Consider the following 25,333-nt stretch of genomic DNA (forward strand, 5'->3'; position numbering starts at 1 on the left):
AAATAGTTTAGAGCAACACAAAACTGTCATTAACGAATTAAATTAGTTTTATGAAGCAAATTCCATTTCAAAGAAATGCCTGGAGGCAATATGTTAACAATTTTTTAAACAATAAAAGGTTTTAATTTATTCTAACAAGATATGTTTTTCATACTGAGTTTTAGATTTTTAATCACTTTTTACTAAGATTTATATGTCAGTGACTATCATTACTGTTCATGGTTTATATCTGAGATAAAAGGCACCAGAATATAAAATAATAAACCATAGAAAGGTACACTTTCTGATAAAAACCTACATAGACTACATTAAGATACATATAGTAATAGTAATGATACATGAAACTATTAGACAGCTAGTGCCTTTCACATTAGAATTACACACACACACACATACCCCTTTATATTTAGAACATTTAACTTGTAGGAAAAGAAGAGGCAAAACATTTCTGGGCAAGAGGAAAGCAGTTGCAGTACCAAAATCTAAACACTTTTGGCAAGGCTTCTAAACAGCAAATGAACTAATTATATATCCAAAACAAATCCATTGAAAAATGCCATTTTTGTTTCATAGACAGAGAATAATGGCATGCTCATATTAGATATTATATATATATTTACATATATATGTGTATTATATATGTATATTATATATATGTGTATATATGTATATTACATATATATATGTAATATATATATATATTTACAAAGCTCTTGTAATATAAGTCCCATTAAATGGCCCAGAAGTTGAAATTCAGTTCATGACTCTGGAATTCGTTCATGTTCTTTTCCTTTGGAGAATGGTTTGTAGCTTAGTAGGACATGGGAAATCAGTTTACTGAAACCCACCATGGTCAAAGTGAATGCTTCTTTTTTTATCTTGGTCAAAGCATTCTAGTTCTTCCTCCTGTGAAGCTGGGAGAATCCATCTTTTCATTCCTATCTCAGTGATCTGAGGAAGCTTGGTCACAGCATATAACAAGTGTCTAAACCATTGTCCACAATCTCGAAAATTTGATGGTCGAAGGCTAATATCCAGCTCGATTAGCTCTTTGAGGAACCGCACGTTTTGGCAGAACATGGTCCACCCCGCATCACAGATGCTGTCATTGTAGCTCAGGTCCAGCTTTTGCAGTTTGGCCAGATGACCCGTCTGTATGACCGATGCTGGAAAACAGAATCACTCTAAATGCTAACATACAAGAATACTGTCTGCCATGGCTATTCCCATTTCCCATAACACTATCTCCAGGAATAGTAATGACAAGATTAGTAATTAGTAATGATTTGTTATTAGCAGCTTTATTCAGGACATCTGAAATTAGTAACAGATTTCCTCTCTGTACATCCCATCTACAGCTTTTTTTATTTCTTTTTCCAAATCTCAACCCAATAATTTTTTTTTGTCAAGTTCCTGCTCTCTGTTCCACTGAAGTCCGAGCTCTTCCTACAGATTTTCTCTAATTAAATGTAAAGAGTGATGGCTCATTGGCTTTAACTAAGGACCATTTGTAAATAATCATCTTGCTGCTTTAATTGTTCATTTTCATTCATTCAGTACTTCTTCATCCAGCAATTATTTAAATGAGCATTTTCCATATGCAGAACATACCTGGATAATTTCCAATTCACCTTAGAGACCCCAATACATGTGACAGTTTTCCTTTTGAATAGAACATATCAGTACTACCTACAATGGCACTTAAAAATGATGACTAATGTACAATCTGAGCTATTTGATCAGAAAATAAATAAGTTAATGATGAAATAAAGACTTCTGTAAGAGGAGGCAGGAGAGATAACCACGGAAAATGGGACATGCTTCCCTTTTCAACCAAACCCAGGAATGGATTGCAGAGATCAGGTGGGTTGTATAGAATCTCAGCGTTGCAAGGGATCTTGGAAGTCTCCTTATCCAACCTCCTAATCAATAATCAGAGAGAAATCCTTTTCACAGCCTCTCTACTCATGACCACCACAATTCTGGCTGAACTGTTCTTTCAAGTTTGCCCCAGCATTATGGAGCAGCTCCTAGCGGGAGGAAGCCCTCCCACAGGGCCCCAATCTATCTTCTGGTGTCTTTCACCCAGTGCCCCAATCAGTCAGCTGTAACATTCAGCTCCTTCTTCCTCCTGGCAGCCCTGCAGTGTTGGACAACAGCCAGGTCTCCCTTAAACTTTATCCCTGTAGGACTGAACATGCCCTGGTCTTTCAGTCTTTCCTCACACGCATGGCTTTCAGATCAAGGAGGATGCTCCAACTCCATCACTTTCACTTGCCAACAGTTTGATTCCACAGTGAATTTGAGAGCTCAGCCACCCGTGCACACAACAGCTGCACTCTGTCTCTAGGTGTTCATGTCAGTGTGTGTCTCCCTTCCTGTCTCGCAACATTAATCATAATATTCTCAAGACCTAACTGTTAAAACAATGTGCACGCTTTTTCTCTTTTAAAAAATGTTGTATTATGAAAATTTTCAAACACAAAAAGTAGAGAGAATAGGAGAAAGTGGACCACCATGTACCCATCATTCAACTTCAACATTATCTTCATTACATCAATCTTGCCTCATCTAGTCCCCTTTCTTCTACTTTTTTGTTTTTTAAAAACACATTTTAGGCTGGGTGTGGTGGCTCACACCTGTAATACCAGCACTTTGGGAGGCTGAGGTGAGTGGATCACCAGGTCAGGAGTTCGAGACCAGCCTGGCCAAGATAGTGAAACCCCGTCTCTACTAAAAATACAAAAATGAGCTGGGCATGGTGGCGGGCACCTGTAATCCCAGCTACTCGGGAGGCTGAGGTAGGAGAATTGCTTGAACCCAGGAGGTGGAGGTTGCAGTGAACCAAGATCGTGCCACTGCACTCTAGCCTGGGTGACACAGCAAGACTCCCTCTCAGAAAAAAATAAAATAAAATACATAAATAAATAAATTTATTTTTTGTTTGGATTTTATAATGTGAGCACCCTATTTTATTATATTTTATTATTTTAGATTTATTACATTTTAAAAAATCTAGGTAGGGGAAATGTAGGCCATGGGTATACTCTTTATAGTTTACTGTATGAAAAAATAAATGCCATTAATTATTTTTAAAATGTATATAAGCTAGTGATTAACAAATTTTTAATGTTTCTATTAGAAAAAATATAAAAGTGACAATTGCTAAAACCACATATAGTAATACTTGTTTTTTGTTGCTGTTGTTGTTTTTGTTTTTTTGAGATGGAGTCTGCTCTCTTGCCCAGGCTGGAGTGCAATGGCGCAATCTCAGCTCACTGCAACCTCCATCTCCCGGGTTCAAGTGATCCTCCTGCCTCAGCCTCTCGAGTAGCTGGGATTACAGGCACCTGCCACCATGCCCAGCTAATTTGTGTACTTTTAGTAGAGACAGGGTTTCACCATGTTGGCCAGGCTGGTCTCGAACTCCTGACCTCAGGTGATCCACCTGCCTTGTCCTCTCAAAGTGCTGGGATTACAGGCGTGAGCCACCATGCCTGGCCTGTAATACTTGTTATTGAGTAAAAATTCAAAGAAGGAAAATATACCCTGATAAAATGTAAAAGTATAAATTTGACCTGAGAAAAAAACTGTCAGTAAAAATTAAGAAAAAATATACAATGGCTGAAGACATGGTGAATAAAATTTGATGCAGACAAAAATAAAAAAGACCGAAATGAAGAAGCAAATTTTAATTATAAACATTAAATAAAATAACTTAAATATATTTAATGGTGTCTAATTCAGAGAAATAAATAAATAAAAATCAAAAGCTTATTTTTTAGAAGACACAACATCAATAAACCCCTTGCAGTAGTCAGAATTCTAAATAGCCACCTTAAGATTTCCATTGTATCCCCAGGACTGAATGTGGTAGATTTTGCTCCCAGAATTAGCTTAGGCTATATGGCACACCTGACTTTAAGAAAGGGAGATTATCCATATGGAGTCAACCTAATCACATGAGCCCTTTAAAAGCAGAGAGAATTTCCTCCTACTGCTGGCAGAAGAGGAAGGAAGTCACAGAAGTCAGAGAGATTTAAAGTGTGAGAGGCACGGACAATCCACTCCTGTCTTGAAAATGAGGGGCCATGTATCAAGGAATGTGGCTGGCCTCTAGTAGCTGACAGCAGCCCCCAGCTGAGAGCTAGCAAGAAAACGGGACCCTCAGTCCTAAAGCTGCAAGGTCCTCGACTCTGTCAACAAGAATGAGCTTGAAAGTGGATTTATTCCTAGAGCCTTCAGATGAGAACTCAGCCAGGCTGACACCTTGATTTTAGTGTTGTAATACCCTACACAGAGAACCGACACAAGCTGTGTCAGACTTCTTACCTACAGAACTGTGAGCCGGGTGAGGGATGAGAAATTACTTAATGATGCATTATTCATTTGGGTGATGGTTACATCAGCACCCCAGACTTCACCACTACAATATACGCATGGAACAAAACTGCACTGGTGCCCCTCACATTTATATAAGCTTTTAAAAAGAACTGTGAACAAATACATGGATATTGTTTTAATCCACAAATTAACATGTTACACAGCAACAGAAAACTAATACCTTTGGTCAGACTAGCCAAGAATAAAGAGATAGAAACACAAATTATCAATATCAGGAATGAGACAGGTGGTATCACTATGGGCAGTAAAAGGATAACAAGGAAACAACTTTATTTCCATAAATTCAACAACCTAGATGAAATGGGCCAATTTCTTAAAAGACACTATCAGAACTTGCTTAAGAAGAAATAGACAACTGGAATAGTCCTAGCTCTATTTTTTTTCTATCTCTATTTTTTAAATTGAATTCGTAATTTAAAATATCCCACAAAGAAAATTCCAAGTTTAGATGGCTTCAGTGGTGAATTCTGTGAAACAGTTGAGCAATAAATAATACCAATTTTACACAATCTTTCTGGAAAATAAAAGAGGAAGGAACACTTTCCAACTCATTGTATGAGGCTACCTATACCCTCATAACAAAGCCAGACAAAGACATTATAAGAAAACCAGTAGACTATTATCCCCTTGTGAACATAGGCACAAATATCCTCAACAGAATATTAGCAAATAACATCCAACGCTATATAAACAAGATAATACATAATGACCATGACCAGGCTGATTTAACATTAAAAAATCAGCTAATATTATTAATTATTATCATTCATTATTATTATGAATATTAATGAACTATAGTTTTTTTAAATGCTCATCTCAATAGATGCAGAAAAATATAATTTGACAAAATTCGTTATAAGAACTCTTAGCAAATTAGGATTCCTTAACCTGATAAAGGGTAGCTACAAAAAAACCTATAGCTAACATCATACTTAATGGTGAAAAATGGAATGCTTTTCCCCTTAGCTTAGGGGACTAAGACTGGAAGCAAGGCAAGAATGCTCTCATCTCATTCAACATCTATTGGAAATCTAGCCAGCTAAATAACCAAGAAAAAGAAAGAAAAGATACACAGAGATAAAGAAATAAATCTGTCTCTAGGCCGGGCACAGTGGCTCACGCCTGTAATCCCAGCACTTTGGGAGGCTGAGGCAGGCAGATCACGAGGTCAGGAGATCGAGACTATCCTGACCAACATGGTGAAACCCCGTCTGTATTAAAAACACAAAAACTAGCTGGGAGTGGTGGCACATGCCTGTAGTCCCAGCTACTCAGCAGGCTGAGGCAGGAGAATCGCTTGAACCCAGGAGTCGGAAGTTGTGGTGAGCCGAGATCATGCCACTGCACTCCAGCCTGGTGACAGAATGAGACTCCATCTCAAAAAAAAAAAAAAAAAACAAAACAAAACCTGTCTCTAATCATAGATGATATGATTATCTATATAGAAAATCCTACAGGATCTACCAAAAATATCCTACAGCTAACAGATGAGTTTAGCAAGTTTGCAGTAAAATGTCAATATACAAAAATCAATTATATATCCACGTAACATTGGGAATCTAAAATTAAACAGTATCTTTTATAAGAGAACAAAAATTAAACACTCAGATATAAATTTAACAAAATATAAAAACTAGAAAACACCAGTGAAAGAAATCAAAGAGTACTTAAATACAGAGATAGACTGTGTTCATGGATTGGAATACTCAATATTGTTAAGATGTCATTTCTCCCTGAATTGATCTATAAATTCAATGTAATCCCAATAAAATTTCCAGATGGATTTTTAAAATAGATATTGACAATCTGATGCTAGCTTTAAATGGAAATGCTAAGTAACTAGAATAACCAAAACAATTTTGAAAAAGAAACAAAGAATACTTATACTACTTCATTTCAAGACTTACTATAAAGTTTCAGCAATCAAGACAGCGTGATATTGGTAAAATAAGAGACACAGAGATCAATAGAACAGAACTGAGAGACCAGAAGTAGGCCATCACAAATATGGCCAATTGATTTTTCACAAAAATATAAAGGCAAATCAATGGAGAATGGATAGTCTTTTCAGTTAATGGCACTCAAATAATTGGACAGTAATATGCAAAAATATTAACCTCTACCCATACCTCATACCTTATATAAAAATTAACTCAAAATAGGTAATAGGTCAAAATATAAAATGCAAATACAAAGCTTTAAGACAAAAATATGGAAAAAATCTTTGAGAACTTAGATTTGCAAAACGCTCTAAGATGCAACACAAAAAAACTCTATTCATCAAATTAACAAATTGATAAATCTTTATCAAAACTGAAAGCTTTGATCTGCAAAAAAACACTATCAAGAGAATGAAAAAGCCAGTGGGACAGACCCAGAGAAAATAATAGCAAATTATATTTCTGATAAAGGACTTACTTGTATTCAGAAAAATCTAAAAAACTCTCCAAACTCATCAATAAGAAAACAAACAATCCAATTTTTTAAATCAGGCAAAAGATTTAGAACAGACATTTCACCAAAGGAGCTAAGAAATGAAAATACACACATAAAAAGATGTTTGACATCATTGGTCATTAGGGAAATGCGAATTAAAATCACAATGTTTTGTCCCCATCTTCTAATTACAATCATTTTTGCTATAACACTTGTTTTGAAAACACAAGTTTATTTCAATGAGATTGAAATGTCAGGAAACAATCTGAGTATAATGCAAATTTCTTGTTTGCATTATGCACACAATTTGTCCACAGGAAACACTAGGTGAACATATAAAACTGTCCCCAGCTGAATTGAGCTGCATATAGAAATAAACAGCCTGGGCACGGTGGCTCACGCCTGTAATCCCAGCATTTTGGGAAGCCTAGGCGGGTGGATCACCTGAGGTCAGGTGTTTGAGACCAGCCTGGCCAACAGGGCGAAACCCCGTCTCTACCAAAAATACAAAAATTAGCCAGGCGTGGTGGCATGCCTCTAATCCCAGCTACTCAGGAGGCTGAGGCAGGAGAATCTGTTGAACATGGCAGGCGGAGGTTGCAGTGAGCCAAGATCATGCTACTTCATTCCAGCCTGGGTGACAGAGTGAAACTCTGTCTAAAAAAAAAAAGAAAGAAAATGCAGACATGCACACACCTCATGAGGACAACAACCCTCATCTCTCCACACACCCTCTTTCCACCAATGGAAGTGTGGACAGGCCACTTCTACAAACTTCAGGTCTTTCTCGGGAAAATGTAATATTTGCTCATTTCTTAACTATTTAATATGTAAAACTGTATTGCTATTTTTCATAGCTTCTGTTTTTTAAAATATGCCACTGATGAAGTGTTTGAGTGCGGTGCTTCCAACCGTAAGTCCTGTGGTTATTACTGAATAATTCTTGCATAACACATGATTTTTAGGCCCATGTGCCGTGTCATAGCAAAACTGACTAATATATACACTGAGAACACAGATACAACTACCTGGAGTGACTGTTCTGGCCCTTCATTGGGAGGCGCGCTCATTGCTTTGGAATTCCGGCTGAATAGTGATTGGAGTGTGGGGACAAGGCTAGATGGGAGCCAGAGAGAGTACTCTCTGATTCATTGTTTTATAATGGGAAAGTGGAAACATAGAATGAGTTTTTTATTTTGTTTTGTTTTGTTTTTTGAGAAGGAGTTTCGCCCCTGCTGCCCAGGCTGGAGTGCAGTGGCACGATCTCAGCTCACTGCAACCTCGGCCGCCCAGGTTCAAGTGATTCTCCTGCCTCAGCCTCCCGAGTAGCTGGGATTACAGGCATGTGCCACCATGTCCTGCTAATTTTGTATTTTTAGTAGAGATGGGGTTTCTTCATGTTGGTCAGGCTGGTCTTGAACTCCTGACCTCAAGTGATCCGCCAGCCTCGGCCTCCCAAAGCGTTGGGATTATAGGCGTGAGCCACCGTGCCCAGACACATAAAATGATTTTAGGGAATATTTGGGTAGCCTCAATCCCACAGTGCAAAAGTTATTCCTTATTCAATTATCTTTCCATCTTTCTAGACTGACATGGAAAAAGGGTCAGATTGTTACTACAGTATGCCTTTAACCCTCTCATCTTTTTCTAATAGAGAGGAGCCTCTAATCAAAGCCATCAGCAGTCTAGTATCTGTGAGAAGTGATACCTGTATTTCAGTTACAGTGATAATCAGTTTCCTGTTTAAATAAAAGCATTTAAATTAAAGAGTCAATTTAAAGGAAAAGTTAAGCAATAGTGCTGGAACCATGTGGATGGGTGAGATGTAGATGACTGAAGTGGGAACACTCACGGACCGCGGAGGTGTGGAACAGAGCTGTTTGCCTTTCAGGAACCTCCCCACCTATCTATATCCATATCCTTTTAGGAAATGCCTTCCACTGTCATGTGGTTTTAGAATTGCCTTCGCTCATTTTAATTAGACCTCTCGGCAGATGTTGGTGAGAAGGGAATCTGCACAGAGGGCTTCACCCCAGGTCTGGTACCTCCCCCACCTCCCCACCTGGTGCTTTGCAGGGGCCGCACCCACTGCTCTGTTTGCCAAGACCGCTTGGGAACAAGTAGATACACACCCAGGAGAGCCACATCCTCTGTCACCAGGGAACAGCTGCTCAGCCTCAGCACTTGAAGAGACATGGAAAGCTTTAGTGTTTCCAGAAGCAGCTTCAAGTTGCCACCAACACACTTGTTCCAAGAAAGGTTGAATACTTCCAGAGCAGAGAGGTGAACAGAGGCTTCAGCTAAAAGTGATAACAATACGAACAGCAGTAATTTAGGATTTCTTACAGATCATAGGCTTTGGATTTGAGGAAACTGGTCTAGGACAACACATGAATATAACTGGGGTTGAGAAAGTTGTAGAGACCATTTTCTTCTGCCTTAAATTTATGGCCTCAATTTATGTTGTCTGTTTTTTGTTTTTTGTTTTGAGACAGAGCCTTGCTCTGTCACCAGGCTGGAGTGCAGTGGCGCGATCTTGGCTCACTGCAACCTCCGCCTCCCGGGTTCAAGTGATTCCCCTGCCTCAGCCTCTCGAGCAGCTGGGGCTACATGTGCGTGCCACCACACCCAGCTAATTATTTTTGTATTTTAATAGAGACGCTGTTTCACCATGTTGCCCAGGATGGTCTCGATCTCCTGACTCAGGATCCGCCAGCCTTGGCCTCCCGAAGTACTGGGATTACAGGCGTGAACCACCGCGCCCAGCCTGTTGTCTGTTTTTATTTGGGGAAATATTGGAAACTTTAGCAATGCAAAACTTGATAAATTGGAATTCACTGTCCAACTGGGGTTTCTTTCCTTCACTTCACATGTAGGAAGGAGAAAGAGGCAAAGTGCTTGGACAGCTAGTCAAGATTTCCAGAATGTGTCCTGGTTGGTACATATTTCACTGCACAGTCACTGCTGAGATTCAGATGGGGGCAAGCCTCCCTCAGAGTCTGAAATACCAAAACTTATTTGTATTTACTTCACGCAATTACTGCAGGCAAGGAAAGTAACTAATGTATTTTGGAAAGATTTTTAAAGAAAAGTAAAAGATTTTCTGCTTAATTCTCAGTTGCCCCCAATGTTAAAATTAACCAGAATATCTTATTCCCAAGTTAATTGCACTTTAATCTATTCTGCCTTCCTTCTAGAAAATAATGTGTTCAAGGGGAAAATATATATCCTTTTATAATATCTAGTAAGAAAATCCTTACAGAGATCTACATTAAGGAGAAATGGAACTTTTTCTTCTAAAAGTGATGTAGGGAAATATATATTTGCTTCATTTACTTAATTCAAATTGAATGGTAGATTTATGTCAGATGATATAATTTAGTGTGATACCTAGTTGATCATGATTCATTGATTGTGCAGCTAGAATTAGAAACAGCTGTGCCTTCTAATGGCTGCAATTCCTTTAAAAAAAAAATATTTTCCCAGAATGGGCAACATGGTAAAACTCTATCTCTACCAAAAATACAAAAATTGGCCAGGTGTGGTGGCATGTTCCTATAGACCCAGAAGCTACTGAGGAGGCTGAGATGGCATAATCACTTGATCCCAGGAGTTCAAGGCTACAGTGAGCCATGATAGTGCCACTGCACTCCAGCCTGGGCAGCAGAGCAAGACCCTCCCAAAGTACTGGGATTACAGGTGTGAGCCACTGTGCCTGACCCAAGTCCACGGTTCTCTACTGGGGGTTAGTCATCTAGCTACCCTCCGCTCAGCATACACCAAAATTCCATCCTCACAAAAGAAAAGCTCATGTTCAGCATAAACCATGTTGTCTGTGCAAACAGGTTAGGCACAGTAAACCACCCTTCTCAGTTAGGAAATGGTATGAACACCCCCAGATTCCAAGTTCTGGGATATTAGCTAAGGGCCAGCCTTACTGGTTGATAGCAGGCCTTTACAGGGATAGCAGCATCAGGCCTGCTACGTTAACTCTTTTTTGCCCCCATACACGTGATTGGAGTTGCTGGATTTGGGTGCTTCCTGGATAATGCTAAAAACAGAGTCCTTCTCTCCAACCCTCTCACCAGTGTTTTTTATCAGTTGGCACTTCCTTAAAAATGAATTGTACTGTCCACCAGACAAGGGCTATTATTAATGAAATAAATGCATTAAATTCATAAAAATGAGTAATTATTATTATACATTAATAAAAATAAATGCATATTATTTACCCCCAAATTTGAAGAACTCTATATTTAGGGCATTCTTGCCCTCCTTTTCGGCCTGAGTATTTGGCTCAGCCTGAGTATTTTGCTCAGCTCGAGTATTTTGCTCAGCTCGCATAGACTTGGTCCTCACCATGTCCTGCTCCCAGCACTCCCTCAGCATCATTCATCCCATTGTCCACATGTCTGGATGGGGAAAAGTCCCAGGATACGTAGCCTTCAGCCCTGCTGTTCTAGGGCCCATGGACCCACCAGACAAGTCTAGGTATGCTTGAAGGGGTGCCTGTGAGCTCCCTAAAACTGATTACAGTTATTCTGTGGGGAAGAGTATGGTACATTTTCTGTATGCAAAACATCTGGAATTAGACTTCCTGAAATCAAATCCTGCCTCTGGCTCTTATGACCTTGGGTTACCTCATGTACTTAACATCTCTGTGCTTCAGTTTCCTTGTCTGCAAAATATAAAATGGAACAATGGCACATGCCTTATACAGTTATAAGAGTTAAATTGGTGAATGCATGTAAAGTTCTTGGAAAGGGGCCTGGCACATAGGATATGCTCAATAAATGTCAGTTGTTAAGTTCTGCCCACTTGGTGACAAGTGCAGTGTCAGCAAGTAAGAGGAGATATTTTGAAACAAAGAGACTTGGTAGCACTTTTCCAAATCCATCACCCAGGGAAACAGTAGTTTGTGCACACAGTGCTGGGGTCCCCAACACCACCTCCCTTTACTTGCTGACACTAAACTTGTCACCAAATGGGCAGAACTTTCAGATTCAGTAGGTTCCTGATGTAGGCTGGGGTATATCTGTGACCTTAAGGCATACCCAGATTCCTCAGACAGCACATAAATCCTGTTGGGAGTGATTGCTTGGCAGTTAGCTAGGCTCACACTCTAGTAAATGGCTCACTTTCCCATCAGATCCCAGATCCTCACCATGTCCTGCAGGTGGGCATGATCCACCAGGAGGGTGGATCACTTGAAGTCAGGAGTTTGAGACCAGGCTGGACAACACGGTGAAACCCTGTCTCTACTAAAAATACAAAAATTAGTCAGGTATGGTGACGTGCACCTGTGATCCCAGCTACTCAGGAGGCTGAGGCAGGAGAATCACTTAAACCTGGGAAGCGGAGGTTGCAGTGAGCCAAGGTCGCGCCACTGCACTCCAGTCTGGGTGACAATCTGTCTCAAAATACAAACAACAACAACAAAAAAAACCCTGCACATACTAGAATCATTTTTATGGACTTTCAGAAGGTCACTTTTAAGAAGGCATATGTCCTGAAAAGAAGACAAATTAGTACTTCGCAAACTGGCTGAGCCTTGGAATGAAATGCAGGGAAAAAGAAGTCTCCCTCGCACATTATTGCATGGTTCCTGCAGGGATCTGGGAAATCTCTTACCAAGAGCTGTAAAAGTCTCACTCTCCAAAGCACAGTTGTTGATAACTAATGACTTCAATGCTGGTAAAAATCGGAGCCTGCTGAGTAAGTTTTCAGAAGAACTGCCCATCTTTTTGTTGGCTGATAAATCCAATTCTTGAAGATTTGAAAGTAAAGGAATGACCTGGGCTGTTAAAAATATCAACAGTGACATGTTTTAGGCACCATCTCACAGGGAGTCTTCTGGGTGTTTGGTTCCCACAATCTGTTTAATCTGTCAGTCAATACAGCTCTCCCCACCCCGGCCCTCCCTCCTTTATACACCCCAAACCAGCCTCTTCCCAGCATGCTGCTTGGGCTTTCTTACTTCCAAGCCCCTTTTCAGGCTAGAAGAGCAAAGGCTGTGGAGACAGAGAAGTAGATCTTGGATCTGCTACTAAAGAACTGTGTGATTTTGGACAAGTTAATTAACGTCTCTGAACCTTAGCCTTCTCAACTCTAATACTCTTAGCCCTCTCGGCAGGGCACAGTGGCTCACTGCCTGTAATCCCAGCACTTTGGGAGGCTGAGGCGGGTGGATCACGAGGTCAGGAGATCGAGACCATCCTGGCTAACACGGTGAAACTCCGTCTCTACTAAAAAAAAAAAAAAAAAAATTAGCCGGGCGCAGTGGCGGGCGCCTGTAGTTCCAGCTACTCGGGAGGCTGAGACAGGAGAATGGCGTGAACCCGGGAGGCGGAGCTTGCAGTGAGCCGAGATTGCGCCACTGCACTCCAGCCCGGGCGACAGAGTGAGACTCCGTCTCAAAAAAAAAAAAAAAAAAAAAAAAAAAAACTCTTAGCCTTCTCTATTTCAAGTGGTCATTGGGAAGGTAAAATGACTTGGTAAAGGTAAAGTGCTTGGTATAGTGCCTGGCACATACTAACTGCTCAATTAATGTTTGAAATTATAATTCTTTTCTCAGAATGTAAGTACCAGTAAGGCAATGAAAACAAGCCATCAGAACAGACACCTATTGGTAACGGCACTGGGTCCTGAGGGGCCCAGCTAGGAATTACCCTCGTTCGCTATCTTTTGGCTACTTCTCTGGCCTTTGCCCCAACTATTACCAAGGCAGAAAATGCAGTATGCTGGATCTCTACAAAGCTGGCTTACCTCCTTGAAGCCTTCCAGGGTCACCCACACCAAAGTAACCCCTTGGTCACTATCACATCACCATATTTTATTTTCACAGCACCCAGCATTATGTGATATTTTCTTGTTGATATATTTGTTTTCTGTCTTCCCTCACTAAAGGCAAGCTCTGCGTTATAGGAACTATCTCACTCCCAGAATGGGAATCAGTACCTGAAACATCAGAGGTACAAATGTTTGTGGGAGAAGGGAGAGAGGTCAGGGGAAAGAAAGGGGAAAGGCAGGGAAGGCAGATAGATGGGCACTTGTAAAGTCAACAGGTGTAACTATTTCTCCCTCTTCCAACCCCCTCAGCACTTTGTATTTCACCATGTAGTTTGGGTATGCATCGGTTTACTCCTGCCCTTGCCATACCGAAGCTCCCTGAGAGTTGGGATTTTCTGTAGCCCCTGGCACGGTGCCCCACACCATTAGAGGATTCATCAGTAGTTATTGCTTAAAGGATCTATAATTCCATTTCTTTGGAGCAATTTACAATGATCGGATAAAAGAATGTTCAATTATTTAACAGCGTAAAGTACAAAGCAGGATGTATTTTCATTTCCATCTTTTCAGAATTAAGCAGAAGGAAAGCAATGCAATTCATTACAGTTATCAAATAATTATTAGTTTTCCAGGGCCATTCACCCATGTCAGTGGCTGTGAACCTAGGTAAGGAAAGCTTAGTCCTCCGTTATACTAGTGGGAACAATTGAGGTTCTCCAGCACTGAGGAGCAAAATGAGATGTGGTATTCATGTTATTTAGTTGTACCAAGGGAATCTGGTGGGCTAATAACTCTGAATGTCTTCCTAGGTATGACGCTCAGGCTATGATAAGTAAAGGGGATGGTAGGAACCCATAATGCTCCACGCAAAGCTCAAAAAGGGATTATTTTGTCATTTTAAAATCTTCATGAAAGTCTTGAATTCTTCCCATTTTCCCAAATTGAGAGATAAGAGTCTGAAAGATAATTTAGCAGGTTTAAAAAGATAGATGTATTAGACCTAGAAACATATTTTACGGTCTTCCTCCCCAAATTGTACTATAAACAACCAGAAACTTACTTTTATTCTCATTGTACACTCATTCATTCATTCATTCACATATTCAACATGCATTTACTTGGTGCCAACCATGTGCAGGTGCCTGTGCTTGAGCAGTGGGGAGATGCCAAACGAGACACCTCTAGCCTGGAATTGCCCATGACCTGGGGAGAGAGAGCATGGGCAAAGGGCCCAAGGCCAGAGCATGCCTGGCGTGTCTGAGAATCAGCAAGGGCAGTGGCCAGGGTGGAGTCTGTGAGGAGGAGGGGGAGTGAATGAAGTCAGAGTGTTAGAGGACAGGGAGACCATTTGGGCTCTTGCAATAATCTAAGCATGAGATAACCGTGGCCTGGACCAGGGTAGTGGAGGTCTAGATGGTGAGCCATGGTCAGATGCTGGATGTACATTGAAGGCTTATTGTGGCCACAGGTGGGATAAAACCCTTAATCTCAAGGCTACGCTTGCTCTGTTATGGGAAATTGCATTTATATATTACATGTTGTAATTACAGAACTATGTTTGCAGTAGGAAAATAAGTGTAGTTGCCCAAAGCAGTAACGTACAGCCATCACGCGCCACCCTGCTGACTCTTTTTCTGTAACTTCATTTGTATCTGAGTGGCTTCACTTCACTTGTTATTCAGAAAGCCTCGATACCCTTTGTGTTGACGTTTGGTTACAGGTATGTAACCTGTTTGTAATCAACTTTGTGACACTAAGAGATTTATTTCTAAACAGCAACATAAATTCAAAATTTTCCCTAAGTGCCAAATCTATCATTTGCAGACATGTATGGGTGGAACTGAGATTCACTAACATTTACTGGGCGTTTAATACATGCCAAGTACTACATTGGGGCACTCACAGAACTGTTATGAATTGATCTTTCCAATAACTTCAAAAGAAGTAAATTTAAGTGTACATATTAAAATTTCCAAGTTTCCAAATATAGGCCAAGATTCCAAAAGTCTTTCCTTTGCTCTGCAATATATACTTACTCAGTGACATCACGTCATCTGCTGTTAGTGAGCACTGGTGAAGATCTAGGACTTGTAGATGCTTTAGCATGACCAACTGAGCCGGCGAGTCTTCAAAACCTCCACCTAGATCCTTATTGCAGGAAAGATCTAATTTCCTCAGCTCACCCAAATACCTAAAAGCAGCATCTACAAAGAAAGTCAGAATCCCATTCTGGTAGCTGGACACAGTGGTGTACCTATAGTCCCAGCTGCTAGGGAGACCAAGGCAGGAGGATTGCTTGAGCCCCGGAGTTCGAGTCCAGCTTGGGCAGCATAGTGAGATCCATCTCTTAAAAAAAGAAAAACCGGGCTGGGCGTGATGACTCCCATCTGTAATCCTAGGACTTTGGGAGGCTGAGAGGGTGGATCACAGGGTCAGGAGTTCAAGACCAGCCTGGCCAAGATGGTGAAACCCCATCTCTGCTACCATTCTGACATATCGCAAGGTGGTAAGAAGGTGTGGAACAGGGGTGGGGCCATGGTGCAGTAAGGGAGGTTGAGGGAACACACTGTGTTCACAAAAGACAAAAGGAGGAATAAGTGTAGACTTCCTACCATCTGGCCTTCTGTGAACCCGACCATGATTTCACACACACGCTTCCTAAGATCTGCATACATTGCCAAGGGTTTTGACATGAATCCTGCAACTACACTTGAGCATCCTCTCCTATTACACTTGAGCATTGGAGTTTACATAGATTTTTAGACTTATTCAAGCTGCCAGTGAATATTACAGGTTCTGTAAGTTGAAGGGGAAACACAATATCATTTCCTATTCTCTGTTAATATGGATACTATATACAGAGGAGTAAGTTTTAACTGTGGACGCCATCGAAGCCGTTCTTTTTATCAGTACCTATTCCTTCCTACTACTGAGCATAAAATAATGCTGACACTTTCAAAAGAGAAAACCTAGTAGTTCTAGCAGCAAAGAAACTTTATTTTTCCCAGTGTTTATCTTAACCTAAAATATACTGGCCTTTTCAGAGTCAGTCATACTAAAGGCTTATTTTTATAATCATGAAAGTGTATGTTCTCTATAAAATATTTAGAAAATAAATAAAATATAAAATATGTATATATTTTTGAGATGGAGTCTCTTCTGTCACCCACATCGGCTCGCTGCAACCTCACCTCCTGAGTTCAAGCAATTTCTCCTGCCTCAGCCTCCCAAGTAGCTGGGATTACAGGCGCACGTACCACCACGCCCAACTAATTTTTGTATTTTTAGTAGAGATGGGGTTTCACCATGTTGGCCAGGCTGGTCTCAAACTCCTGATCTCAAGTGATCCGCCTGCCTCAGCCTCCCAAAGTGCTGGGATTGCAGATGTAAGCCACTGTGCCCAGCCTAAAGGAGATTTCAATTACCCATAATCTTATTCCCCAGCACAACCACTGTTTATATTTTGCTATATTTCCTAGTAACTTTTCAATATATATATTTATATGTATATCATATATAATTATACATGTAATCTTAAATCCAGCCATTGTTAACTCACCCAATATTTTGACACTCTTTTGTGATAATCCACATGAATGTAACTTCAGTACTTTCAGATTTGAGGTGCTTTTTAATCCCTGAGCAATACTGTTCAGACTGCCAACAATGTCTCTGTTAATGGAAAGATCAAGTACTTCGAGACTTTGCAGCATAGGTAGCAGTTGACCTAGAAGGAAAGAAATCCAAATAAGAAGGGTAGGTAGGAGGGGAGTGGAGTTTTACATCACCTGGGGATATCGTGACGTAAAACTCCACTCCCCTCCTACATACCCTTCTTTAAATTCAGAATAAGACAAAACACAGCAAACTTCCCAAGCTATCCAGTGGGCATCTTCACTTTTTTTTTTTCTCTTCAAATTCCACTTACCCAGAAATGTCCCATCTTCTGACGTGAGGGAGCAATCCACAAGCTCAATCATTTGTATCTTGCTCCCTTTTTGGAACTTCTGAAGGATCAGAGGCAAATTTCCTCCCACTTTACTGTTCCAAGACAAATTTAGCTCTTCAAGTTCAGGAATCATCTCAAATGCTTCTCCTGTTAACAAATGGCCCGAAAATTCTGTTGGTCACTAGTCAGAAAAGCAGGGAATTCATTTCAGAATCAGCACAACCATGATTAATGGAGTGTGGAAACTGGGCCAGGTACTGTCCTGTTTGGCACCGAGGAACAGAGAGAAGGAAAGAACCCAATTCCTTCATAGCAGGGCGTGCTTCTCTAGATTTACAGGCACAGTCATTCTAATCCCTCCAAAATTCTGAAGCCATGCGTATGAGCTAAACAATTGTTGTTGTAGAAAAATCCACCTATTGGTAGGGTGGTTTTAGGAAGCTGCTTTTGTGGTGGTTCATCTGCTTTCCCTTAGCCCCTCTCTCTGGGATCAGCATTTCTGAGAAGTTTGACCAGGGATAGAAGTGAGGCAAAGCAGATAACTGGCCACCACAGAGGTAAAGCTCTCTCCAATGTCAAGAATATCACATGCCTATATATATATATATATATATATATATACACACACACACACACACACACACAAGTATATATATACACATATATACATACACACACATATACATATACATATATATATATATGAGGAATATCACATGCAACCTGAACTGACCACTACAGAGAGAAACTAATAATAGAGCATCAGGCACTAGAAGCTTATAACAGCCGTGCTGCCTTAAGGGGTAAAGGAGGGTGCAGTGACACAGGGATGAAAACTAACATTTCTGAAACCATTACACACTGGAAAGCTCCCAGGGCTGCAGAGTGGAGGCTGGGAGAGAATAGGAGAAGTGACCAAACAGATCTGTCCTTAGGAATGATTTTCACTGCCTTGCGGGTAGACACATACATGGAAAATGTACTTTCTCAATGTGCAAACAATTAAGCATTCTGGCAAGTCCCCTGTATCTAGAACCCTCTTTACTACCTGTCCCTGGGTTTGAACTTCTACCATGGTTTATTCATTCCATGGATTAAGGTTTTAGAAGTCCAGGAACCCCATGCTAAAATGCGTATTCCCCAGGAGTTATAGCATCTTAAGCCAGCAATGAACAGGCATCATTTTTTGTGCTATTACCAGTCAATTGGGGGTGACTTTCTATAGCCCTGAGGTGTTCCCCAGGCTCAGGGAGAAAGAGCTCATGATTGATTAGTTATGTCTGCAGTGGTCATGGTACTGGAGTGCCATGCATTTGCCACTCGGTACTAAACTATTATAATGGGTGTAACAATTTTGAAATGCCTTCTGATTTATGTTCTCTTATCAAGAAACCATTTATTTTCCCTATACCCCATCTGCATTAAGGTTGAGTGAAGAAGATAGAGTATGGGTGATAGGTAAGCCCCTCCTGATGGGAGAGGATGCAGAAGTCCTTCCAGAGAAGAAATAACTCTGGGAGAGGGAAAAGGGCGCAAACATCAGAACAACAACAGTGCAGACTCCCTCCTCAACCAGGTAAGTTTGGAACAGGTCCCAGGGCAGAAATTTCATTTTCTTGTTTTCTAAGGATGGAGGGTCAGGAAAAAGATCAGGTTAATCACAGAAAATAAGAAAGTTGTCTTTTCACACCTGAGTAATGGTATGTTAAAATTGTGAGTCTGCTACATGATAACCAGCTGCTTAATGTGGGGCTAAACTCATCATGTAAACCCACAGAAAGGTGGTTTTAGATGACAGAATGGAGAAAGAAGGACTATCAGTTATTGAGCAACTATTATGCACCAGGCATGCAGTAGGCACTTTACAGAAATTGTTTAATCCTTGCAACAATTTTTTGAGAGGGAGGTTATCCCTATTTCAGATATAAGAAAACCGAGGCTCAGAAATTTAAATTATTTGTTCATGTTCACAAAGCTAGTTAAAAGTGGCACTAGAGGCTGGGCATGGTGGCTCACGCCTGTAATCCTAGCACTTTGGGAGGCCAAGGCGGGCAGATCACTTGAAGTCAGGAGTTCAAAACCAGCCTGGCCAGCATGGTGAAACCCTATCTCTACTAAAAATACAAAAAAATTAGCCAGGCATGGTGGTACATGCCTGTAATCCCAGCTACTTGGGAGGCTGAGGCAGGAGAATCACTTGAACTCAGGAGGCGGAGGTTTCAGTGAGCCAAGATTGCACCACTGCACTCCAGCCTGGGTGACAAGAATGAAACGCCATCTCAAAAAAAAAAAGGGGGGGGGTGGGGGATGGGCACTAGGATTTGAAGTAGGATCTACTAAAAATAAAAAAAATACAAAATAATTACAAAAATTAGCCAGGCATGGTGGTGCACGCCTAAAATACAAAAAAATACAAAAAATTAGCCGGGCATGGTGGTGCACTCCTGTAATCCCAGCTACTTGGGAGGCTGAGGCAGGAGAATCACTTGAACCTGGGAGGCAGAGGTTTCAGTGAGCCAAGATTGCACCACTGCACTCCAGCCTGGGTGACAAGAATGAAACACCGTCTCAAAAAAAAAAAGGCCGGGGGGGCGGGTAGGCACTAGGATTTGAAGTAGGATCTGGCCAACCTGAGATGTGTAATGTTTCTCCTCAGCTACAGGAGGCATGGGCCGGGGGACGTCAGCTGCCCCCATTTCCAGGGAGAGACTGACAAGCGGAGATATTTGGCATAAAATGTGTTGTTTTTACAGAAATCTTTAAATAGCTGTAAAGGATTAAAATAAGTCATGAAAATAAGAAACTTTACATCAAAAGAAGAATAAAAAGTATCAAAGACATCTAATAAACCAGCAAGCATTTTAGTACAGCAGTTGGATAAGTAGAATGACTGTGTACAAATTTAATCCTATGAAACTAACTTAATGGAGGTTCTAGTTCTAGTTAAACTATTAACTTAAAAATCTTGTTTTGTTTAATGTTTCAAAATGTGGGTGGGAAAATAGAAGAGAGAAGTATTCTTTTGGAATTGTAAAAGAACTTAATTCTTGTCTACTCTAACTCCTCTATTTTACACATGAAGTAACAGACCCAGTGTAAGCATGTTTTACAGTAACCTCCATTGAAACTACATGAGGCTGGACACGGTGGCTCACACCTATAATCTCAACACTTTGGGAGGCCAAGGTGAGTGGATTCCCTGAGGTCAGACGTTCGAGACCAGCCTGGCCAACATGGTGAAACCCCCATCTCTACTAAAAATACAAAAATTAACCAGGTGTGATGGTTCACACCTGTAATCCCAGCTACTTGGAAGGCTGAGGCAGGAGAATTGCTTGAACCTGGGAGGCAGAGGTTGCAGTGAGCCGAGACTGCACCACTGCACTCCAGCCTGGGCAACAGAGTGAGCCTCCATCTCAAAAAAATAAAAATAAAAATAAATAAATAAATAAACTCCATGAAAGCAGGGACCTGGTCAGCCTTGTTCTTTTTTTTCTTTTCTTTTCTTTTTTTTTGTTTGGAGATGGAGTCTCACTCTGTCACCTAGGCTGGTGTGCAGTGGCACGATCTCGGCTCACTGCAACTTCCGCCTCCCAGGTTCAAGCGATCCTCCTGCCTCAGCTTCCTGAGTAGCTGGGACTACAGGAGCCCACCACCACACCCGGCTAACTTTTTGTATTTTAGTAGAGACAGGGTTTCACCATGTTGCCCAGGCTGTTCTCGAACTCCTGAGCTCAGGCAATCCGCCAGCCTCAGCCTCCCAAAGTGTTAGGATTACAGCTGTGAGCCACGGCGCCCGGCCGAATCCATCTTTTAAGAAATGCATTCATCATACCCAGTGCTTGAACATCGTCAGTGGTGAGTCTGCAGCTACCCAGCCTCAAGATTTTTAACTTGCTGACCAGATGCATTTGCTGAGTGATGGAAAGGAGGGTTCCACCTACAAAACCATTCCAGGAGATATCCAGTTCTTCCAAGTCTGGGAGAAAAGGCAGCAAGGCAACTAGAAGTGAACAGAAGAAAATACAGATATGTGTATGTGACTTGTGATTTGTAGTAAATAAAATGCAATGCTTACATACACAGGATATAGTTTTACACTGTAAGAGAATAGACAGTGGTAGGCACGCTGACTTTGGGCAAAGCAGGGAGCCCTCAGCTGTACAAGTGGAGAAATTGTGATGTTTACATTTGCTATTTCTTGGGATGTTTTCTATTTCTGCCAAATAACTGCAGTCTGAAAATGCAGGAGTGTGTCTGTAAGATTTCATACAGCCTCTTTTCCTAAACTCAGCTGAAGTCTTCAAAACTTGAGGAAGGATCAATTAACTTGTTTTTCTTTTCCTTTTTTTTTTTTTTTTTTCAGACGGAGTCTCGATCTGTCGCCAGGCTGGAGTGCAGTGGCACGATCTTGGCTCACTGCAACCTCCGCCTCCCAGGTTCAAGTAATTCTCTGCCTCAGCCTCCCGAGTGGCTGGGATTACAGGCACCCGCCACCACGCCTGGCTAACTTTTGTATTTTTAGTAGAGACGGGGTTTCACCATCTTGGCCAGGCTCGTCTTCAACTCCTAACCCCGTGATTCACCCGCCTCGGCCTCCCAAAGTGCTGGGATTACAGGCGTGAGCCACTGCGCCTGGCCTTTTTCTTAAAAAAAAAAGAAAAAAGAAAAAAGAAAAAACCTACTCGGGAGGCTGAGGCAGGAGAATGGCGTGAACCCGGGAGGCGGAGCTTACAGTGAGCTGAGATGCGTCACTGCACTCCAGCCTGGGTGACAGAGCGAGACTCCGTCTCAAAAAAAAAAAAAAAGCGATGCTGTTTCTGCAATTGTCTGGGACCACTCAGCAGACTTGGGGTTACTAGGTGGGTAGCTGAGTATGTTTTATCTGCTTATCTCAATGGAAAGGCCCTATCTTCCTCTATGCAAAGTCTGCTGCATACAGACCCATTTCTTTCATGTCCGCTGTTGTTAATCCACAGTTATTCAAATCTAGACACTTGTTGACAGCCTTTTTGCCCAGCTTCTGCAGGAAATGCTCATTTTTCTCCATACTGGATCTCCATTCCATTTCTGAACTGAGAGGCTTAGCTGTGTGATAAGCATAAAAAAGAATTTGCTGTTAATGATGGATGTATTAAAGATGCATAATGACCACAATCAGACAAGTGAAAAGACTGCATAACTCTGAATTGCTCTTTTATAAAAACCTCAACTCAGAGGCAGAGCCATTTACTAGGGACAAAGCTTAACTAACCACTGTTCCTGCCGCCAGGTGCCCAGACACTGCTTCAGGAGCCTGAGGAACGCAGTGGCTTTTCTATCATGACCTGACCTGGGCTTCTCAGCATGAAGACAGAGCTGCATTCCTGGGTGAGAAGTAAACCTGTCAGCCCGGCTTTTGAGATGCTTGCTTACTTGAAGGGCACGCATATCTTTGGTGGATGCAACTGCTAGGGAGGAAGCAGAGATACTTGCCTCCTCAAACCAAACAGGTGAAGAAGGGAAAGCGTTGAAATCACCATCAAGGAGCTGCAAATGGCCACACGGAGTAAGTGGAATTCTTGCCGGTCAGTTTCTAGACCATTCAATTGGCAAACACAAATCCAGAGAAACTAGGCCTGGGAGAGCTTTTGCTTTTTCTCAACTCCTGCCAGAAAGTGAATTTGGAAAGCCTCGTCTGTCCTCCTTGTTATTAGGGACTACTGTGGCACCCTCACTAGCTTCCTCTGTAATAACACTGTAATAACATGCTAGTGGCTGGGCACGGTGCCTCACACCTGTAATCCTAGTACTTTGGAAGGCTGAGGCGGGTGGATCATGAGGTCAGGAGATCAACACCATCCTGGCCAACATGGTGAAATGCTGTCTCTACTAAAATACAAAAAATTAGCCGGGCGTGGTGGTGCACACCTGTAGTCCCAGCTACTCAGGAGGCTGAGGCAGGGGAATATCTTGAACCCAGGAGGCAGAGATTGCAGTAAGCTGAGATTGTGCCACTTCACACCAGCCTGGCAACAGAGAGAAACTGCATCTAAAAAAAATAAATAAATAAATAAAAAAGATAGCACTATAATAATAAAAGCTATCATTTTATTGAGCACCTGTTATGTACTCGTTCTTTGCCTACTTGCAGGTGCCAGCATTTCTTTTTTCTTTCTTTTTTTTTTTGTTGGGGGGGATGGAGTCTCACTCTGTCACCCAGGTTAGAGTGCAGTGGCACAGTCTCAGCTCACTGCAACCTCCACCTCCCAGGTTCAAGCAATTCTCCTGCCTCAGCCTCCCGAGTAGCTGGGACTACAAGCGCCTGCCACCACGCCCGGCTAATTTTTGTATTTTTAGTAGAGATGAGGGGTTCGCCATGTTGGCCAGGCTGGTCTCGAACTCCTGACCTCAGGTGATCCACCTACCCGGCCTCCCAAAGTGCTGGGATTACAGGCATGAGTCACCATGGCAGGCCAGGTGCCAGCATTTAAGACATACATAAAACACATCATACTTTTCTAAGGAAAAATGAATATACATGTACTGACAGTGATTTTAAAGTGATTTTGTAAGTGAAATATACAATTTTAAACATATAGATTATGTATATTGAAATCCAATAGGAAATAATAAGTTCTGGAATGAGCAGTAATATTTTATTAACCCTGACAAAAAGGTGTAAGACAACATAGCTAAGAAGAAATACATTGGTACCTGTGAAAATTAAAAGATAGTAGGTTTGCAGTAGTAATAAATTTAGACCAAATGATTAGCAGGATAATAAAAACTACACCTGTAATCCACAGCAGTCTTGTGGCTTCCTGTTTGGTCTAAGAAAACCACACGTAGGATACGCGTCCTTGTTGGGATGCTTGGTGTTACCACATTTCACCAGTAGGAGGCAGCAGCATCCACCATTTAACCTTTCACTCTCGCCTTCCGTTTTTATGGCACATTGGACACAAGGCATTTAATTTTGGGTAGAGTTGCCAGATTTAGGAAAAACAACAACAGGGTGCCCAGTTAAATTTAAATTTTAAATCGACAAGGAATTGTTTTATTGTATGCCTCAACTGTTGCATGTATTTTCTCTGGCAACCCTAATTTTGGGTGGGGCAGAGCAGAATTGTGGATGGGAGACAGGGAGGGACTGCCTCTTAGGTGCCAGCAAGTACAGGACATTTTGTCTAAACGAGTCACAAACCATTTCATAGATTTGGAAACTTAGAGACACGATTAATTAGGAAGAAGCAGAGCCTGAATTTGAACCCAGAATAGTTTGTTCCAAAGCCTAGTGTGTGTGTGTGTGTGTGTGTGTGTGTTATTTTTGTATTTTAAAAAATTTCTCTGCATTGCATCTTATTGCTGTCTCTCTTTTGTTTTTAAGCTTTTTATCTCGACCTACAATCATCCTCAAGTTCCAGCCCCACCAAACCCACTCTTCTGTTTTCTCCTCAAGACACTGCTCTGTCAAGCATTTCCTTTACTGTCAAATGTTTGGAAAGAGTGGTTTCCACTTGCTGGCCCAACTCCTTCCCCACATTTACAAGCTAACCCTCTACCTTCTGGTTGCTACACTCCTCTATCCAAATACATTGTTTCTCAAAGGTCACCAACAATAACCTACAAACTGACAGACGCAGAAATCTCTTCTCAGTCCACATCCCACTGGGTGCTCTGTCATGTTTGATGTGACTGACAAGTAAGCAGTACAGTCAAAAGACCTGATCCAAATCACAGGTCTGTCTGAGGAACAAGTCACTCAACCTCTCT

General features: G+C 41.4%; 1 protein-coding gene across 7 annotated transcripts in view, besides 1 other annotated feature; it reads right to left on the reverse strand.

Annotated features, from left to right (window-relative positions):
* Positions 1 to 24: 24 nt before the first annotated feature.
* The window catches only part of LRRC31 (leucine rich repeat containing 31), a 30,764-nt gene continuing 5,455 nt past the window's right edge, over positions 25 to 25,333 (reverse strand). The window contains exons 1-9 of one of the 7 annotated variants that reach the window (XM_017007204.2): positions 23,489 to 23,513; positions 22,523 to 22,666; positions 21,414 to 21,581; positions 17,558 to 17,725; positions 17,189 to 17,356; positions 15,666 to 15,833; positions 12,472 to 12,639; positions 8,973 to 9,140; positions 25 to 1,166 (exon numbers count right to left, since the gene is read on the reverse strand). In XM_017007204.2, coding sequence (XP_016862693.1) covers positions 835 to 1,166; positions 8,973 to 9,140; positions 12,472 to 12,639; positions 15,666 to 15,833; positions 17,189 to 17,356; positions 17,558 to 17,725; positions 21,414 to 21,581; positions 22,523 to 22,646 — 1,464 coding nt within the window. In that variant the 5' untranslated portion in view covers positions 22,647 to 22,666; positions 23,489 to 23,513 and the 3' untranslated portion in view covers positions 25 to 834. Of the gene's footprint in view, positions 1,185 to 8,972; positions 9,141 to 12,471; positions 12,640 to 13,255; positions 14,586 to 15,665; positions 15,834 to 17,188; positions 17,357 to 17,557; positions 17,726 to 21,413; positions 21,582 to 22,522; positions 22,667 to 23,488; positions 23,514 to 25,333 lie in introns of those variants that run through there. The other 6 variants (NM_024727.4, NM_001277127.2, NM_001277128.2 and 3 more) reach the window with 6 other exon arrangements.
* Positions 8,015 to 8,172: a silencer, noted in NCBI's record as "fragment chr3:169564950-169565107 (GRCh37/hg19 assembly coordinates)". NCBI's record gives its function as "represses an EF-1alpha promoter that drives an FKBP-Casp9 reporter gene in an ReSE screen in K562 erythroleukemia cells {active_cell/tissue: K562}" and the evidence as "EXISTENCE:reporter gene assay evidence [ECO:0000049][PMID:32094911]".

The sequence above is a fragment of the Homo sapiens genome, chromosome 3 (genome assembly GCF_000001405.40).
Source record: "Homo sapiens chromosome 3, GRCh38.p14 Primary Assembly".
Lineage (NCBI taxonomy): Eukaryota > Metazoa > Chordata > Mammalia > Primates > Hominidae > Homo > Homo sapiens.